This window comes from Homo sapiens, chromosome 13 (assembly GCF_000001405.40).
Source record: "Homo sapiens chromosome 13, GRCh38.p14 Primary Assembly".
Classification (NCBI taxonomy): Eukaryota; Metazoa; Chordata; class Mammalia; order Primates; family Hominidae; genus Homo; species Homo sapiens.
Window position 1 is genome coordinate 102,044,364 of NC_000013.11, and position 21,061 is coordinate 102,065,424.

The 21,061-nt window shown below is 35.8% G+C and overlaps 1 protein-coding gene and 1 non-coding gene across 22 annotated transcripts in view; both read right to left on the reverse strand.

Moving 5' to 3' along the window:
* Positions 1-21,061, reverse strand: part of FGF14 (fibroblast growth factor 14) — a 691,640-nt gene that overhangs the window by 333,560 nt on the left and 337,019 nt on the right. The window lies entirely within an intron of this gene.
* MIR4705 (microRNA 4705) lies at positions 1,571-1,641 on the reverse strand. The gene has a single exon (NR_039854.1). It is a non-coding gene; the product is annotated as a microRNA 4705 (primary transcript).

Genomic DNA, 21,061 nt, shown 5'->3' on the forward strand with positions numbered 1-21,061 from the left:
AAAAAAAACTGCTTTTATTAAATGAACTTTTGGAAGAGGAACATATATAAATAAATTAGTAGTAGTCCATAAAAACCTGTCCTTCATGTTCAACCTAATGGGCATCCTAGGGCAACTATTTGCCAGATCATCGATCTGTTGAGAAAGGAATAAAAGCGAAGTCTCCTCTTTCGTAAAAAAAAAATGCACAAAATTTTCTATAAGTTTCAGGTGGCTTGGAGATACTCTGAAGCATTAAGTTAAACACAGTTTAAAAACTGCCTTAAAGTGATCATCATTTTAATTATTTCCAAACCCATGATCTCTCAAAGCCATTTAATTGCTGTAAAAGGCACTTTCAGGAGGAAAACAATCTCAAATTACCTTCCACCATCCTCCACCACTCAAGAAGAAGAAAGATATACATCGTCAGTCCCCCACAACTTTCCAACATCAAAATTTCAAGCATTTTATTTGGCCAGATGCATGTAGATCATTTACAGTTTAATGGAAATATTGACATATGTCTACCAAAATACTCTAGATCTATTGGAGAAATTTTGCCGATGTTGGTGTACTCTGACTTGCTACCATGGCCAGCAAATAGAGGTGTCTACTCATCCTCATTCTTATACAAGGACAGAACAGCAATAGTGGCAAAAACATGTGTCTATAACCTCACTGACGTTCCCCATCCATGTCTGTTAAGCTGACCTCAGAGTCTGAGAGTGTCAATTGAATTTTACTCATCTAATAATTTTGATATTCAATTTGTGTAGTTAAAATATACATTATAGGGTGAAGTTTCAAGAGTTGTCTCAGACACTTCCCATCAAGCATCTATGTGCACACAGAGGTAGACTAAGTATGTCACATCAGCTAAATATACATCCTTTAGGGATGACTGGAAAGGAAACTGCTATGCAGATGGAAAAAAAAAAAGCTGTAACCATAGATATAAATATATGTAAATACACACAGAAGTTTCAATTTTCACAGGATGCCTGAAACAGGAATGCTTGATCTCTTTCACGAATATTAGGTTTTTAGAATTTCATAAATGGTGAGGAGAAAATATAAAATGGCACAGAAGGCTGTGGTAGAAGAACTCAGGTAACATATAAAGAAACCATCAGGACAACTCATTGTCTGATTTTGATTACTGTGGAGCAACTGTGATCTCTATCATGAAAATTCCTTAACAAGCTAGAAAAAAAATTAAAAGACCATGCAGTGGCAGAATAATGGAAATGCAGAACATGTTACATTGTACATAGGGATCTTTGAAAAGGAAAAAGCACAAATTGTATGTATCTGGTTCATAATCATATTTGATCCCTGATACAGTTTAGAGATGTGTAATTATCTACATCTCTTTCCCATTCATTCTGGTTGTAAGTTTTAAGTTCAGCAAATCAACTGTGTGATTAAAGCAACTGAATTCAGCCTGAAAATCTTTGCTCTGCCATCTATAGGATAGTCTGTCTGGTAGCTACTTGGAGGCACTACAGCATTAAGCATGTCATTCATGCAGAAGGGCCCGGGGTCTGACAAGCCTGTGAGGAATGGCTAGAAGAGCTGAACAAGCATTCTCACAAAACCAATCACTTGGTAATTGCTGAGTTGTTATCACAGCAATTACCAAGTGATTGATCTTGTGAGGGTTAGAGAAGTGGTAAATCCTTGGCATGTTCTTAAGGACTTTTGTCAATGTCAAGATCTATTCTAACTCCCACTTCTTGCACAAGAAAAAAGAGATGCCTTTTGTTCTTGCCTGGGCAGGAAACACTGACTCTCCAGTTACCCAACCCCCTAACTCCTTTTTCCTAAGCCTCTCTCTAGTCAATTCCTACGGGGCTGATTTCTGGAAAGATAATTCCACTAAAATTATTAACATGAAAACCATATATCAATATCATAGAATTATAAACACAGATAGATTGTAGTTAACTGCACCTACAAATAAACATTATTAATATTAAAGCTTGTGCATAATGATGTGGGAAAATTAATGCTTATTGTCAGAAAATATTTTTGAGTTTATTAATATAAAGAACACTAAGAGAAAAGCTCTCACATGTTATTACTATTTTAAAGAAACATGAATTAAATGGGGAACCACAAAAAACAGGAGTATGATGTTGCGTCAAATAGGAAAAGTGAGTATAGCTACCCAGGGTTAAATCTGGGGTCTTAGTCATAAATCTTTATTTGACAATTTAATGCACCGTTCTGTTAAACTACCATTTTGCTTTCATTGTTCCTACCTCAAATGACACAATTAACAAATTGTGAGTGCTGACGGTGATATCCAATAAAAGGTGGAATATATTAAAAAGGTTTATTGAAATTACTTTATCACATCTTCAGAAAATTGTTGAAAAGTACAGGTGGATAGATGAAAAGCCCTAACATCTTTTCTACCATTAGCAAGGGATGATTTTAAAAATGTAAATAAATGCATTTGCTATATTTGAAGCATAATTTCTACATTGATAATTTAGTTTAGAATAAATGTTGCTATTCCAATAATGAATGTCTCTTCATGGGTACTGCTGTCATAATTACTTAAGAAAAAAATATTAATTGGTCACCAAACCATCTCAGCAGATGGATCTATTGGGGAGGTGTCAGGTTAGTGTTACATTTTAGCACAAAATTGTTGTGTGTTATTTTATAGTATTCAAATAATCAAAATCATACAACTCTGGACAGGAATTGGCGAAGTATACTCCAAATGGAAAATTCACACATAAAACTGAATAAATAGTATATTTTTTCTGGGTTGTAGCCTAGATAAGAGAACAAAATATTTAAATGAGAAAATTTAGAAGTATAATACATATGGACAGCAGGAAATGTCATCCAAAAAGGTCATTTTTGCTTTATATAAAAAATTAACCATTTTATCCCCTTCCTACCATCCCACACATACACATACATACATCTTGGCAGCTTCGAAATTTTGGTTTAAGAATAATAAGAATAATAATGCAAACCTAAAAGATTCTAATTGTAATCATTTCTGCTCTTGAGGGAGATTTAGCTATACCTTTAAAAAAAAATTACTGGCCTGTTCAGGACAAAATAAGGATTGAAATGTTTTAAAGGATTAAGAAAATGTGGCACATATACACCATGGAATACTATGCAGCCATAAAAAATGATGAGTTCACGTCCTTTGCAGGGACATGGATGAAGCTGGAAACCATCATTCTCAGCAAACTATCGCAAGGACAAAAAACCAAACACCGCATATTCTCACTCATAGGTGGGAATTGAACAACGAGAACACATGGACACAGGAAGGGGAACATCACACACCGGGGCCTGTTGTGGGGTGGTGGGAAGGGGGAGGGATAGCATTAGGAGATATACCTAATGCTAAATGACGAGTTAATGGGTGCAGCACACCAACATGGCACATGTATACATATGTAACAAACCTGCATGTTGTGCACATGTACCCTAAAACTTAAAGTATAATAAAAAAAATCATCTTTACAAATAGTTTTTCTCAACATTAAAAAGGAAATTTAAACCCACTTTTCATGCCTTCTATTTAGAAGCAAAAAATACATTTTTATGAGAAAAGAGTATGGGCCCTTTTAGTTGGTATGGTGCCAGTTCCTTTAGAAGGAGACTTTCTAAGCCCGGTTTATTATCTTAGTTGTTTAAAAAAAAAAAAAGCAGCAGTTGATATAAACTTTTCATATTTAACTGAAGTTTACTCTGAAGAGATTAAAAGAGTTTCTATTCCATGAAACGACTTGCTCCAAGTTTCTATGACTGGGTTTCTTTTGGCTGAATGGCCCAGTTCAAGCTGTTTAATGATGTGGTAGATGAGGAAACAGCATGGCTCTTAGGTCATAACCTTGCTCTGTTGTTCAAAAGCTGTTGCGATCTTAGGAAAAGTACCAATCTTATGTTTTGTCTTCTAGAAAAGGGGGTGTGAGGGAATAATAAATACCTGTACTGCATGGTTGCTGTGAAAATTGTATGGGATAATGGACACATGAAGAGTTTGCAGAGTGCCTGATACCTTGTGGTTAGTATACGGTAACTATCATTTTTTGTTACATCTTTCACTTTGGATTCCATGTTTTATGCCCACAACATTTGGAGGTAAATTATAATTTCCATCTTAGAGTCGGAGTCACTTAAGGCTTAGAAGTTCAGTGACTTGCCCGCTGTCGTGTATGACAGATCTGAAAGTCTTCCAGTTCCAAATCCAGAATTAAGTTTCCACTCCTCATCCTATCTGGGCAATACTTAGTGCCACGTAAGTGTTACCTGCTGGGGATGATGATGCTGCACCTGTGTGAGAAGGAGCAGGCCCATGCTATTTGAAATAACTCACTGGGAAGACATTCCCAGGGGAAGAATGACATTGACCTTTGGAAACTTATAGTAGCCAGAGTTTGTGCCCAATTCCAGAACCGAGGCTGTCTTCACTCAGGCACATTCCTTATGTTATTTAGCCTTTGCTTCCCCAGCTATGGAGAAAAAGAGGATTCTCTTATTGATTACTCTGGATTCCAACTCTAATTCCTCAGATACTGTCACATTAATTATTTAAATCGGAATAACTTCCCTTCCTAAAACAGCAGTCTTTTGATATTGCTGTATTTCAGCTGATAATGGGAGAAAAAAGTTAGATTCCAAGAAAGGGCAAAAATTATGATACGAAATAAAAAACTAAGACATATGTCTCCTGAGAAAACAATGTAAAAAATCAATAGTCAAAGAAACTTCAATCAACCATTTTAAAGGAAAATTTTAGGAAAAAAAATACAATCAATATAAATATGAAAGGATATTAATTTTGAACATGCCAGAAAATCCTTATAGGCTATATATAATTTTTAAATAAAAGACACAAACTTTGATTTGCACAATTAAATGTCCTTTCTTTTACCTCTACATTCTGAGTTTTAACCAGTCAATAAATGTGCTCTTTCTAGACAAAAATAAATCTGAAAATCAAATTTTTATTGACTTTAAAATCATTATTCCAGGACTGAGCACCCAGTGTCATTGGGCCTCACTGTCACTGTGAAACCCTTCTTTTTGTTTTGAATGGGATTACTGATTTTGAGTCTTCTAATAATATGTTCACTTCAAAACAACAAAAAAATAGGAGACAGAATTGGATTTCCAAAAGTCCAAATCATCATTAAATAAACATTGTTTGCTTGCCTGAGCATTACTGTTTGCATCTTACTCTCCTCATTCATATATTAAGGTTCTAACCACCAGTACCTTAGAATGTGACTTTATTTGGAAATAAGATTATTACAGGTATAATTAGTTAAATTAAGATGAGCTCATACTGGATGAGAATATGCCCCTAATGCAATATGACTAGCATCCTTATAAAAAGGGGAAATTTACACACACGCACCCCCCCACACACAAACACACAAACACACAATGTCATGTGAACATGAAGGAAGAGACTGGAGAGAGCTGTCCACAATCCAAGGAACAAAAGAGATTGATGGCAAACAACCAGAATCTAGGGGAGAGGCATCAAACATATTCTATTTCATATGACTGAAAGGTACCAACCCCACTCATGCCTAGATCTCAGACTTATAACCTCCACAACAGTGAGACAATAGATTCCAATTGCTTAATCCAACCAGTTTGGGACACTTTGTTATGACAGCCCTCCTAGCAAACTAATACAATGACGTTGTTTCAGCAACATGCTGCTGAGACTTAGTGTTCCATTTCTTAGTTATAAAAGCTATAAAAATATATGGAAAGAGCAAGGCAAAGTCCAAGGTACTTTATTTCCTTTCAAGGCTGAGTGGATGATTCAAATGTGTTAAGAGGAAAATAAATGAGAAATTTCTAGGATGTACTTATCCTTCCATCTGTATCAGGACACAGTATAGAAAAATAGATTAATAAACTCATAAAACTAAAAGCTTTCTGTATCTTATACATAAAACCACCTTGGGGGATGGGGAAGCTCTTATAAGCAAAGAAACAAAACTATATAGTTTTGGAGTCACACTTTATGGTCATCATCTCTTCCATCACCATAACCACGAACTTTTACAGATCACTGTAGAACTTGTAGCAACTACAAACGTTGAACACCTAGCACCCTGTAAACATCCAACAACTGATAGCTTTCAAGATGCCCATATATTTCTTAGGAATAAGCTGATGTTCTGTCTAATAATGATTGAGAAACAAAATTAATTAATAAATCTACAGATTCCTTAAGACTCAATGTAAATGGTGGACTACACCAAGTCACCAAGATGTCACCAAGATGATGTCACAAATATGGCAGAGTAAGAGACAAGCCTTCATCCCACACACACAAAAAGAAAAAGCGCAGATAGCTACTCACAAATCAGATAAACCCAGGGAAAGCTCAAGGGCTCATGAAAAAATTGGCAGCAATACAGTAGAGAGAAAAAAAACATAGAATATTGATACAGAAAGGATCACTGGTGGGATCAGCATACCTGAGACACCAGGAGACTGCTAGGACCAAAGAAGAAAGGTGGACCTATCAATATCAGCCCATGGTCTCATCTGCAGAGGATACTGGCATATCTTGCCACTGAGGTAACCAACAGCCATTCTTGATGGGGAACACCAGAGACAGGTATGGCTGCACAGCTGTATTAAGTTGCTTCAGGAAATTAGCTACCACGTCTCCCAAACCACCATTTATCTCAGTCTCAGAGCTGTGGTCAATATGCAAGTGCCCACATTACAGGCCCAGGCTTGGTGGCTGCGTTAAGCCCACTCATGTCTCAGGCACATGGAGTGAGGACTTAGCTCTGGGGCCCACAGTGTGAAACATCTCATTACATGTGCCCATGTTCCAGGCACTGGCTCAGCTGCCATAGAGAGCTAGGCCCCACCCCAACATTTAACTCTCACCCATCTGTGATCTCATTTCCAGATCTCTTTCTGCTCCACAAGTATCCATGTCTCACACTATGTTACCAGCATGGTAGTGGGGAGTGCCTGTACCCTGAGTATCATTGCCATTACTTTCCCGGATCCCAGAGCCACAGAAACTCTGTGCATGCCTGTACTTCAGGCCTCAGATCCACAGGCACCACACATCAGACACCAGTGCCACTGCCACTTCAAGTGAACCCACAAGCCAGACCCAGTGCCCCAAAGGACCTGCTGAGCCATAACTTCCCCACTGTGAGAAAAGGGATCAGGAGGACTTTGGCAGCCATCACCACCAAATACCCTACCAGTGCTCACTACCACTATGGATAGCACAGTGTTGGCTGCTGAGGATCCCTGCAACATTTGCCAACTCTGACCTTAGCTGATAGAGCTATACAAACACTACACAGCAGCACCCTTACTGGTGTCAGAACTGCTGCACCACAACCAGCAAGCATTCTCACATCCCCTCTCTCCCATAAAGGAAGGTCTTTCCACAGCAAGACTAGCCAGTAGAGTCTGAAAGTGGTGAATACTCCACCAAATACATACACATCAATGTCAATAAGAAGCTTGAAAAACCAAAGAGACATAACACCACCAAAAGACCATAATAATCTCTTAGTAGCTGACACAAAGAAATGGAGATATATTAAATGCTTAAAAAAATTCACAATAATTGTTTTAAGGAAGCTCAATGAACTTCAAGAAAATAGAGAAACAATTCAGTTAATCAGGAAAACAATGAATTACCAACACAAAAAGTTTAACAGATTAAAATTATTTTAAAAATTAATCCAATTCTGGAGCTGAAAAATACAGTTAATGAAATGAAAATGAAATAGAGGGCATCAACATAAGAATTTATTTGTATTCAGGAGATAATATCTATATACTCAAAGACAGGTTATTTGAAAATATATAATCAGAAAAGAAAAACAACAAAAAGGAATAAAGGAAGCTTACAGGATTCATAGGTCAACATCAACAGAGCAAATGTTTGAGTCCTGGCAGTTAAGAAAAGAGAGTGATAAAAAGCTGGAAAGTTTATTTTAAAAAAATAGCAAAAACTTTCCAAATCCAGGAAAAATATAAATATCCAGGTACGAGAAGGTCAACAGATTCAATCTAAACAAGACTATACCAAGACATATTGTAACCGATTTTTCAAAAATTGGATTTCTGAAAATTTTTGAAAATTTGAAAAATTGTAACCAATTTTTCAAAGACAGAGAGGATACTAAAAGTAACAAGAGAAAAAAAAGCAAATCATATATTAGAGAATTTCAATAAGGCAGCAGTGAATTTTTCATCAGAAACCTTATAGGCCAGGAAAAAGTGAAATGATAGATTTGAAGTGGTGAAGAAAAAAAAAACTGTCAACCAAGAATACCGTATCCAGCAAATATGTCCTTCAGAAATGAAGAGAAGCAGACTTTTTCAGACAAACAAAAGTTGAGGAAGTTCATAATCACCAGACCTGTTTTACAAGAAATAGTAAAGGGAGTTTCTCAAGCTGAAAGAAGAAGATGCTAATGAGTAACACAAAAACATCTGAAAGTACAGAACTCATAAATAAAAGTAAGCAGTTAATTTGGAGTACTCTAATACTGTAATAGTGGTGTGTACATCACTTATGTCTTTAGTGTGATGACTAAAAGACAAGTATTAAAAATACCAAGAGCTACAATAATATGTTAACTGATGTACAATATAAAAAGATGTAAATTGTAACATCAAAAAGCCTTATGGTAACCACAAAGCAAAAACCAATAGTAGATGCACAAAAGATAAACAGTAAGGAATCTTGGCAAAACACTAGAGAAAAATCACCTAATCACAAAGGAAGATAGCAAGAAAGGAACAAAGGATCTATAAAACAATAAGACAATAACAAAATAGCAGTGGTATTTACATATCAATAATTACCTTAAATATAAAGAGATTAAATTCTCCAATCAAAAGACGTAGAGTGGCTGAAGCAATAAGGAAAACGAAACAGAACATGATCCAACAATATGCTGCCTACAAGAGACTAACTTCACCTTTAAGGAAACACATGGACTGAAAGTTAAGGGATGGAAAAAAGGATTCCTTGCAAATGGAAACCAAAATAGAGAAATTATTTCAAATAACAAAAGAAAATTCAGAAAATTCACAAACATATGGAAATTAAACAACATGTTCCTGAACAACCGATCAATTAAAGAACAAATTAAAAGCAAAATTTAAAAATGTCTTGAGATAAACAAAAATGTAAACACAACTTATGAAAATGTATGGGGTATAGTAAAAGCAGTTTTAAGAAGTAAATGTATAGCAATAAATGCCTACATCAAGAAAATAAGAAAGCTTTCTAAGTGTTAGATATTTGCTTACTGCTTTATAAATGTTTAAGTCTCACAAGCTCTGGGGTAGACAAAAATTACGTCAGTTTCCCAGAGGAAAAACCAGAGAAGTTAATAAACACATATAATGGCTTAGAACTTGTACTTTGCACAGCTGGGATTTTGGAATGATTATATCATTATATAAAAAGTGAATAGAACTTAAGTTCTACTTCATTTATGTTCTGTTTCTTTTGTTTTTACTGAACTGTAAGTTCTGGTAAAGGGTTTCATCATTTTATCTTTCACATTTAACACAGTTCCTGGCACATAGTACTCACTCAACTAGTTTTAAATCAATGAGTGAAGGAGATTTTGCTTCTCAAATTCCTTTATATTGCAAGCAGGTAAGCAATATTTATTTCATGGTTGATATACATGTCACCATAGCTATGGACATTTACTTATAGATTTTGCAGCATCCTTAGGAACAAGACAAGACAGAATGGGATAAATTTGAGGCACAGAAAACCAATCTGTCATCACTGATGTGAGAGAATACTGAGTCACTTTTTAAAAATGTAACTTAAGAAATATTATGAGAAATAATAGTTAACTATGATCTTGATTAATTTTTTCTCACACTTTTTGATGTGGCATAATGTATCACAAAGAGTGCTTTTAAAAAATCAATATATTTAGAGGAGTTCCCTCCTAGAATTTTATCTCCTCTTTTATAGTGGACATAATGTTTAGACTATACATGTAAATTACACTTTACTAAAGCTATTTTGTAATGTGAGGAAGATAGTCCCATACCACTGTTTGGCCATCTCCCCTATAAGACAATGAATGAAGCATACTTAGCCACAGAATTACTGTCAGGATTAGAAAGAGTCCGTTTTCTTAACCTCTTCTCAGTCTGTTCCCCATTGGTTAGTGTTAATGTCAATTTTAATTACAGAGTCAGGTGTTTGGACTTTCCCTGGGTTTTCTCAGACTCTTTGTGGCATCAGCTACTATCCACCCTCTGCTGATACCAAGTATTGCTACATCCTTCAACTTTCTACTATACATCGCATCTGGATGTCTAAACTCAAATTCAACTTAGGGTATCCAAAACACAAGTCATTATGTTTCTCTCCTTTTCTACCTCTCCTCCCACCACAGAGCAAGGTGTTACTGCTTCCACATTTTCTAGGTAGTTATCAGAGTTATCCCTCCTTTTATTCATCCCCAATATGAAACCATTCATCAAATCTCATAAGTATTATTGCCAAAGAATCCTCTGAAACTATCACTCCCGCTTTCTGTTCCCACAGCCATGCCTTCATTTCTGATTTTCATCACCCATCTTTTTGAATCACTGTACAACCAGGTATCCATGTCTCACATTCCAGTCCTTTATCCACTCTCCAGTCCCATGGAGAAATACAGTTATTTCTAACTATAAATAAAATCTCACCATACCCACTTAAAGACTTAGCCAGTTCCTTAATTGTTTCTCACAGTTCAATGCCCCATTTGTAGCATACAAAAATCCAACCTAGTTTTTCAGCCTTATTTCCTGCCACATGCCTCATGCACATGTTTTTCTAGTCAATTTGAATTTTTAAAATCATCTCCAATACATGCTGAGGCTCTTTTGATTGTCTGCTTATGCACATACTATTCCCTGTGCCTGACATGCCTTTCCTTGACTTAACCTTTATGACTCAAATAAATTTCATCTGCTCTGTGAAACGTTTATTGCTTTCCTCTAGAGGGATTAATCTCTGTCTCTTTGTTGTGCTTTCATAGTACTTTGTTTGTTCTCCAAACATAAGTCAGTGGGATCTTTTTAAAACATAACTAAGATTATATCATATTCCTGTTGAACACCATTCAAAGGCTTGTTATCCTACTTGGAATAAAATCTAAACTCTTTACCCTGTTCTATTAACAAATCATCCCTTAGAACTGGGCAGTCAGGCCTCTGTTCTGCACCTAAACTTCAGCATAGTAATACCACACCCATGATACATTTATTAAAGGAGACATGCGTACTTCTGCCACTTGAGATTCAATGTTCAGTGGGGGCATAGCACAACACAGGGGGTGGCAAACCACACCTCTTTGGGCCAGACCCAGCCTGCCTATTTTTGCAAATAAAGCTTTTGTATTAATCTATTTTCATACTGCTGATAAATACATACCCGAGACTGGGTAATTGATAAGGAAAAAGAGGTTTAATGGACTCACAGTCCCATGTGGCTGGGGAGGCCTCACAATCATGGCAGAAAGTGAAAGGCACATCATACCTGACAGCAGCCAAGATAGAATGAGAGCCAAGGGAAAAGGGAAATCCCTTATAAAACCATCACATCTTATGAGACTTATTCACTACCACGAGAACAGTATAACTGCCCCTATGATTCAATTATCTCCCACTGGGTCCCTCCCACATGTGGGAATTATGGGAGCTACAATTCAGGATGAGATTTGGGTGGGGACACAGACAAATCACATCGGCTTTATTGAAACACAGCTATGCTCATTCATTTATACATAGTCTACAGTTGCTTTTGCACTACAATGACAGAGTTGGGTATTTGTTACAAATGGCCCAGAAAGACAAAGCTATTTGGCCCATGACAGAAAAATTTGCCAGCCATTGACACAGCCTATAACTCTTATCTGCCCTTGAGACTACCTACATTTAGGCTCAAAGAAACATAGTTCAACAATCATTTACCTTTGTTTTCAAAGCAAAGGCTACATTTTGTCCAATTGGTGCAAGAGTTTTCAGTTCGTGCCACTACCAACAGCAGAGATTAACATTTCTGTGCTTTTGGTAGAAAAAAGACACATTAATTAACTTGTCAAATCCTTCTCAGAGAATATGGATGCAGTAGATACTTACATAATAAAACATAATTTCTCCAAAGTGCTAAGTGCCCATTTTCCTACTTCATGGTCTCATTTGTGGTTCCATAAATACTCACAATACAGCAAATTATATGCAATAGTTGCACATGACAACTAAGAAACATTTCGTAATATTAAAAGCTGTATTTTTGTCTTAAATTTAAATATGAATAGGTCTAGAAAGAACATGAGAATCAGGATCCTACAGTGATTCAACAATGAATACCAGAATTATATTGTTTATATATATGTAAAATATAATACAGATATAAATATATTATAAAACTAAAATGAATATATATTTATATAAAATATAATGAAATTCTTAAAATAATTTCAATAGAATTATAACTAGTATTCTCCCTTTTATTGCAATAGGTAATTTTGAATTTTAGAAAAGTAATGATTTAGTATATTATATAAATAATTTGTTTTTCAACTTTTAAAATTTGCTTTGACATATTTTTATGACATTTAAATTTTATACAATTTGAATCCAATTACATTTTATTTCTGAATTCTTTAGATCATTGCTGCCAATAAAATATGGTTTATGTGACTTTTTATATTAGCTTAATTAGTGATTTTGCTAAAATGAAAGCAGAAAAAGTAAATTCAAAGGAGTAATGATATAATTGTTTATAAACTATGAATTTTTTAATCATATTATGAACACAAGATAACTGACCCATTAACAGAATATGAAAAAAATAAGCAATGATAACTAGATTCAGTCACCTTTAGTACTTTGCTAAATTTTAGTCATAAAAATCTTATAGTTTAATGAATATTTTACAAATTGTTATGATGAATGCTTATTTGTCAGCATAGGAAAGAATACATTTCAGTCAACAGTGAGTCTGATTGATAACTTTAGCTCTTTACGTGTATGGAATATGGTCTCCATTTGCAGTCCTGCCTCAGGCCCCACAATTGGATGGAGTAATTCTGCTATTAATAATAATATTTTCTTACAAGATTAATACTTTAAAGTATCTCTTCCCTAACCAGAATATAGTTAGTATGAGAACAAGGACCATACCTATTTTTTAATACTGTATTCTCAGTGACCATTATAGTATTTGAAACATAGGGAGCATGCAATAAATATTTGTTGAGTAAATAGCTATTTATGGCATGAATAGTGCATTGTAATCATCTGTGGCCATGAACTTATTTTTGTTGACAGTAATTTCTTAATGCATAATTCAGTGCTGACTGAAAAATATTTCTTGAATAAAGGAATAGATAAATAAATGATAAATAAAGTGACTGAATACATTTAACCACTGTAAGGAATTTATTCCCAATTCAATTAATAGAATATTTTAGACCTTGGGTTAATTCTTGAAGTGTCTTAATTTCTCCAAGTGCTGAATGTTGGGATCACTTTCCATCACTAAGCATACTTTGTTGTTAATTTGTGGAAGCCTGTGAAATTCCTCCACTGATAATCACATTACTTTATTATTGTTGTGTCTCAACCACCAGCTCAGAACATGTAATTTGCTAAGAACATGTTCAAGGCAGATGGACCTGAAACCTGTGAAGCTTTTATTATTTTCATTAGCACTTGTAACAAAGGACATGAGTCTCTATAATCAAACATTGCTACAGAGAAGCTAAGGCTTTGTGACAGCCACAGCCACCACAACATGTCTCCTGCTTATATGGATGTGATGGCTACTGACATAAGCAGAGATTGTAGTCAAATACCGAAAAAAGGATTATTTTATTAACAATCTCTTTGTTTTCTAAGGACTTCCTTGACATATACAGAAAGTGAATAACACGGAAATAAAATCTAAACACATTCTCCCACAAAGAAGGCATCTAGTTTGATTTTCTCAGTAATCCAACTCATTTTTTATCAGGTAAGGATCAAAAGTTTGTCTTCATATCTTCTTCCCTCTTGAGGAAAAGTAATTTCTTAACTTTCATCAAGGGGTTTTACCTTAGCCCATGAACTTAATGAAGTGTATAATTCCTATTTTAAAAAATGAAACTGGTATTTTATTATTAACAAAGTTGTATATTTGCATTGTAGAGAGTAGACAAATATAAAGGGTAAAAAATAAAACAATTATATTCTCCCCATCACTATTACCTCTTAGTGTGTCATCCCCAATAAATACTCACATTAATATGCATTTTTTCAAAATAAGATAATGCAATACCTAGTTTGTAATTTTCTCTTCAGTTAAGATGTCCATATCTCCATTTTAATGAGTTTTTTAATGTAATCTAATAACCAGTCTTACTCAAATTTGCCCTGAAATTTCCCCTACTGCTTATTTTTCTGAGTCCAAATCCAATGTGGTATCACATGTTGTTTCTAGTTGCCATACCTCTTAACTGCTTTTTACTCTAAAATAGTCAACATTTCTCATGATATCGAATTGCTCAACAGACCAGGAATTTCATCAGTCTTAACTAAAAAAAAAAAAAATAGAGATTTATGAAAAAAGATGACTATGTGGTCACAAGTATATAGCTCCATCTCATCAAATCTCCAGTGAAATAACAAGTTTTCCCAAATTGAGACTGGGGGCTGTATATGGTCTAGAAAATAATGATGAGGCTACTTCACATACCAGAACCAATAAAGAATGTGCTCTAGACCTAGAGCAGATTGAATGAGATTGAAGAAGGAAATGTCCTCTGAAAGTCTAGAATGTCTAGGAGGCAAGTGGAAGGACACATTGTCACATCATCAACTGGAGCAAGATAGGGGAATAGTCCTCAGAACAATACTACCAAGTGTGGCATCTCTTTCCTCCCTGCAAGCCAATGGCCTTTAGAATGCACCAATCACAATGAAAGACAGAGGACTCACTCTCACAATGAGTGACCACACCAACCAGCAGGCAAGGTATGTGTCTCTAAAAGGAAAACACTGTGGCTCACATGCTTTCTCAATAGCCAGCTTGGAGTATAGTTGTATAAAAAGCAACACAGAGCACTCAAAAATAGGCAAGGACTTAGAAAATGCAGGAACTATGCAAGTCTTCTAAATAATTCAATGAATGAGCTAGGCCAGAATAATAAAAGATTAAAGCAGGGCACAGTGACTCACGCCTGTAATCCCAGCACTTTGGGAGGCCGAGGCGGGTGGATCACGTGAGGTCAGAAGTTCGAAACCGGCATGGCCAACGTGGTGAAACCACGTCTCTACTAAAAATGCAAAACTTAGCCAGGCGTGGTTCTGCACGCCTGTAGCCCCAGCTACTCAGGAGGCTGAGGCAGGAGAATCACTGGAACCCGGGAGATGGAGGTTGCAGCGAGCCGAGATCGCACCATTGCACTCCAGCCTGGGTGACAGAGCGAGACTCCATCTCAAAAAAACAAAAACAAAAACAAAAAAAAAAGAAAAGAAAGAAAGAAAAGAAACAAAACAAACAAACAAACAAAACAAAAGATTAAAAAGAATGAATAAATTGCCAAGGACTAAAATCAGTTAAATACAGACCGGCATTCCTAATTTGAAAAGCTGAAATCCAAAATGTTCCAAAATTCCAAACTTTTTGAGTGCCAGCATAACATTCAAAGGTCATGCTCAAAGGAAATGCTGATTGGAGCATTTTGAATTTTGGATTTGTGGATCACAGATGCTCAACTGGTAAGTATAATATGATGCAAATATTCAAAAAAAAAAAAATCCCAAATCCTAAACATTTCTGGTCCCAGGCATTTCTGATAAGGGACACTCAACCTGTAAAGAAATAAATCTGGGCAGGTCGTGGTGGCTCACGCCTGTAATCCCAGCACTTTGGGAGGCTGAGGCCGGGGGATCATGAGGTCAAGAGATCGAGACCATCCTGGCTAACACAGTGAAACCCCGTCTATACTAAAAATACAAAAAAATTAGCCGGGCATGGTGGCGGGCGCCTGTAGTCCCAGCCACGCGGGAGGCTGAGGCCAGAGAATGGCATGAACCCGGGGGGCAGAGCTTGCAGTGAGCCGAGATCGCGCCACTGCACTTCAGCCTGGGCAATAGAGCGAGACTCTGTCTCAAAAAAAGAAGAAATCTAAACTAAACACGTTTTACACAGTTATATCACTGCTTCACATTTTTTGATAGCTATCCTCAATGTTTTTTAACTGGTAAATGTTTTTATCACTTTAAATTACATAAATAAAAAAGGAGAAATTTAAAAATCAGTAAAAATCCTTGATATTGATACAGGAGTTGGGGGAGCAGGGAAGTGCTGGGTAGATAAGGGCAGGGTCCCTGGCGAGGGCTCCACCCTCGGGCCTGTGCCCATGGACCTAAGTGAGGACAAGCACCCCTGTTTTCGTGCCCAAATGTTGCATTTTCCAAGACCACTCTGGCCCATCACGCTCCCATTCTGTGTCTAAAAAAACCCAAGACCCTATTGGGCACGCACACAAGTAGCCAGATGTCAAGAAGAACACACCAGCAGAAGAACACACCAACAGAGGCCAGCAGGTCATTGATGGCGGAACAATGCGGACGCCTAGGGGAGTTCGGCTAAGGGCCATGGGAGGAGAGCCCGGCAGCTGAGCAGCCGGACTCCAGGAGAAGAACACCTTCCCATTCCATCCCCATGCTGGCTCCACATCCATCGGCTGAGAGCTACTTCCACCACTCAATAAAACCTTGCACTCATTCTCCAAGCCCTTATGTGACCCGATTTTTCCAGTACACAAGGGCAAGAACCCAGGATACAGAAAGCCCTCTGTCCTTGCTTTAAGGCAGAAGGTCTAACTGAGCTGATTAAGACAAACCACTTGCAGACAGTAAAACTGAAAGAGCGCACTGTAACACCTGCCCACTGGGGCTTTGGGAGCTGTAAACACTGGACTCTAGATGCCGCCGTGGGGCAGAGCCCTGCCACCTGCCCGTCCACATGTTCCTCCCAGAGGTTTGCGCGTGGGGCACAGAAGAAACGAGCCACAGCCCCATGGCACGCCCTGAGAGGGGAATAAGGGAAAACTCCTCCCATTTCAATATTCCAAAAAGACAAAAATAGTGGGTTTTACTCACTTTTATAGACAAATAATGTTATATATTTAAGTATGTATCTGATGAGTCTTTGTAACCACTGGTAACAATGCTTATCATGGCAGACTGTATTTCCCAAAATGACCACGACATTTTCCATCCCACGTGCTCTTCTAAAACCTGGAGAGTCTTTGTGATTGCCTCATGAATAGAAGGCAGAACTGACACATGTGGCCTCCAGTGCTTGGTCACAGAAGGCAATACTGTCGAGTTCTGCCTGCCTCTCTCTTGAAACATTTGTTCTTGGAACCAAGCACTAAGCTGTTGAAAAGCCTAGGGCACACGGAGAGATCACATGTAGGTGTTCTGGCTGAAAACTTCACTGCTGTTCACGTAACATCCTCCATGACTTTTCTGACATATGAAGAGGCATCTGAGAACTCTCTAGCCACAACCACTGTCTGACTGCAAACTCATGAATACCCAAAGCAAGAAAGGCCTAGATGAGCCTAGTCAACACCCAGAAATATGAGATACAATGAAAAAAACATTTGCTTCACTCCACAAGGTTTATGGTAGTTTGTTATTTAGCAATAGGCAATTGGATAACAGTTAACAACAGCAGCAAAAAGTCTATGCAAAAAATAAGAATGGATAAAAAATTAAACCACAGAAAGCATAAAATATAAATAAATAACCAAGAAATTGAGTTGTGCCAATAAATGCAAATGATTTAAACATGGCTACCAACCGGAAAAGATACTCAGATGGAGTTAAAATAGAAAACTCTACTTACTAGCAAATAATAAATACCCAAAATAAAATTCCAAAAAGGCCAAAAATCAAAGACTAAAATGTAATATATGAGGCATTGAAAACAAAAAGAAAAAAATAAAATAAGCCTAACCAAAAAGAATATTTAATAAATATAGCAGCAAAAATACGACTAGTAAAACAGAAGCTAACAGTTACTAAGTTGATCTGAAAAACTTCTCTACACCATACTCAAACCCTTTTGTAAGTGTAATTTTCACTGACTAAAAAAGAATGAAAAACAAAACTAACATCAAAATGAAGAATAAAACCATTGGTGAATATATAGAGGCCATTTTCAAATTATAAACAAGCAGGTAAATGTAAACATTTGAATGAAATGAATCATTTGAAACAAATTTCAATTTCTCCAATTTATTCAAGCAGTAGAATGCCTGAAGAGAAGAAATGTAAAATATCATGCCAACTTACACAATCTGTTCCATAGCCAGGCTATTCTTTAAGTTGTGAATTCTTTCAGACCATTATGGAATATACTCTCAATGATAAGAAAAAATGTGTTCAGCAATACTAAAAAAGTGAAAGCTATCTAGTTTTATGCAAAAATATTATAATTTTCACTAAAAATTTGACCAAGGTGTTGCTTAAAACCAACAGCATTTCCTAAATTTTAATCAAAGCAGTTTTTATAAAATAACATCTGCATGAAGTAAAAATATGTTCTCTGCTAAGAAGAATTTGGGAAATTTGCTTTTAAAGGTATTTGTTGCTGTTGCACTATAGAATTTCTGAATCTATAATAAAATAATGAGGGTTATGAATCTCCAAGGGTATATAGATCAGTGCTTCCAAACCTTCCTTACTGTAAAATGCTTTGTATTCACATAATATTATTAATGTTCTATAACATAGTGAAATGAATGACTGTAGGACAAAATTTAGAAAATGGTACTATAAACCAATTTCTCTTTGGACATAGATACAAAATATGTCAAAATCAAGAAAGTAATATTGATATATTCCTATTTATAACATCTAAACATACTAATATAAATAGGTAGTTCTGTAATATAAGTAGTTGTGTTATAAATTGGTAATGCCCCTGTAAACTGAGCACTGTGAGAGGCCAAGATGGGCAGACTGCCTGAGTTCAGGAGTTTGAGACCAGCCTGGGCAACATGGCAAAACCTCATGTCTACTCAAAATACAAAAAATTAGCCAGGCGTAGTGGTGCACACCTGTAATCTCAGCTACTTGGGAGGCTGAGGCATGAGAATTGCTTGAACCTGGGAGGCAGAGGTTGCAGTGAGCCAAGATCACGCCATTGCACTCCAGCCTGGGCAACAGAATAAGACTCTGTCTCAAAAAAAAAAAAGTTCGCAATGCTAAAACATTAACCCAATAACATTAAAATCATGAAAAAAAGAATGTCTTTTATGACTAGTGTTTTATTCAGATCTGAAGATACAGGTAATGCAATAACATATAAAACATGAATAAGATTTTCAAATATTATAAAAGGTGGATAAACTGGTCAGAATTTGCAGATAATATGCCTATGTATTTCCCTAAAAGCAAGAGAATCAACTAAAAAAAACACTTAATATATTATGTCAACAATGAAGCTGACATGTCATGCGATGAACTATTATGCAGCTTACTGGCAATAATGTTTTTAAAGAATTTTTTGAGACATTTCCATTTAAGTAAAATAAAATTAGTAAACCATACTTGCTATAATTAAAAGGTTTTTTAAAGTACACATTTAAAAATGAATGACAATAAATAAAATAATGATTTGAGCAAGGAACATTTAATTTACCCAGTCACCCAGATTGGCCGAAGGATGTTGAAGAATTACGTTAGCTAAATGAATGATAGGTTTAGGAAAGAACTGATATTTAAGATGGGTCTTAGAAAAGAACTAAGGTACCACCAGGCATAAAACTTGGACAGTATTTTCTGTCCCAGTTTTATGCCTGCTGGTACTTTAGTTCTTCACAGAAAAAATTACTGCCTTATCAGAAGTCAAAGTAAAAGCTGAAGTAGGGCATAAAAATCAAACATCTTTAATTTGAGATAAAGACAGACATAATAGCCTTTAGATGGGTTCCTAGTCAGAGTACACTGAGCTAGCTGATGACCAACGTAATTGAAAACGTAACTAAAAAACATAAGTTGTTTAATACAACTTGGGGTCCTTCTCCAAGACAGTTTTTAAAAAGAAAATTGTTTGACCTATTAAATGGAAATTTGAAAAAACAAAATAATATAAGTAAAACAATATAAATATATATTATACTTATGGGAAAAGCATAAAAATGAAAATAAAAGGTAGCCTTAAAATAAAGGCATTTTCTATAGCACGAAATTCAAATTTGTGTAAGTCTTTTAATGATATAGTTGGCTCTTAATATTCCTGGGTTCTGCATCTGCAGATTCAACCAAACATGAACAGAAGATACTTTAAAAAATAATAAAAGTAAAAAACAATAAAGTATAACAATAATTTACAAAGTGTGTATATTGTGTTAGGTTTTGTAAGCAATCTAGAGATGATTTAAAGTATATTGAAGAATATGCATAGGCTATATGAAAATACTATGCCATTTTGTATGAGGGACATGAGCATCCCTGGATTTTAGCATTCATAGAAGTTCCTGGAACAAATCCCCCACAGATACTGAGAGATGACTGTATATGAATCCTAAAAAGAAAATTGAATGCTAATCATTATCATAAATATCAGATATATAATATAATGTCACTCTCTTTTCCACATGAAAATGTTTCCATTAAAGAATTCCAAAAATTTAAACCCAGTTCTTTGTTCCAAATAATATTATTATTGAAATAATTAATGTCTTTCAGCCAGCCTCCACATTCATCATCATCTATTAAGCCTGGATAGATTTCATGTCAAGGAGAAAGGAAGCTGTACTTCTAGAAGTAACCATAATGGATATAGTGCTTTCTTCCAGGATTATATATTACTGTAAGTGTTTATAATGTCAACTTGTGGCTCAAAGCAAATCATTCATATACGATCTACTGTGCTACATTCCTAGGAGCTCAATCAAATGGAGCCCAATACACTTGGCTCTTCCAATTCCAATAACTTATTTCAATCAACAACAATGTCCACAGGGTCTTTGAGTATACAATGACACAG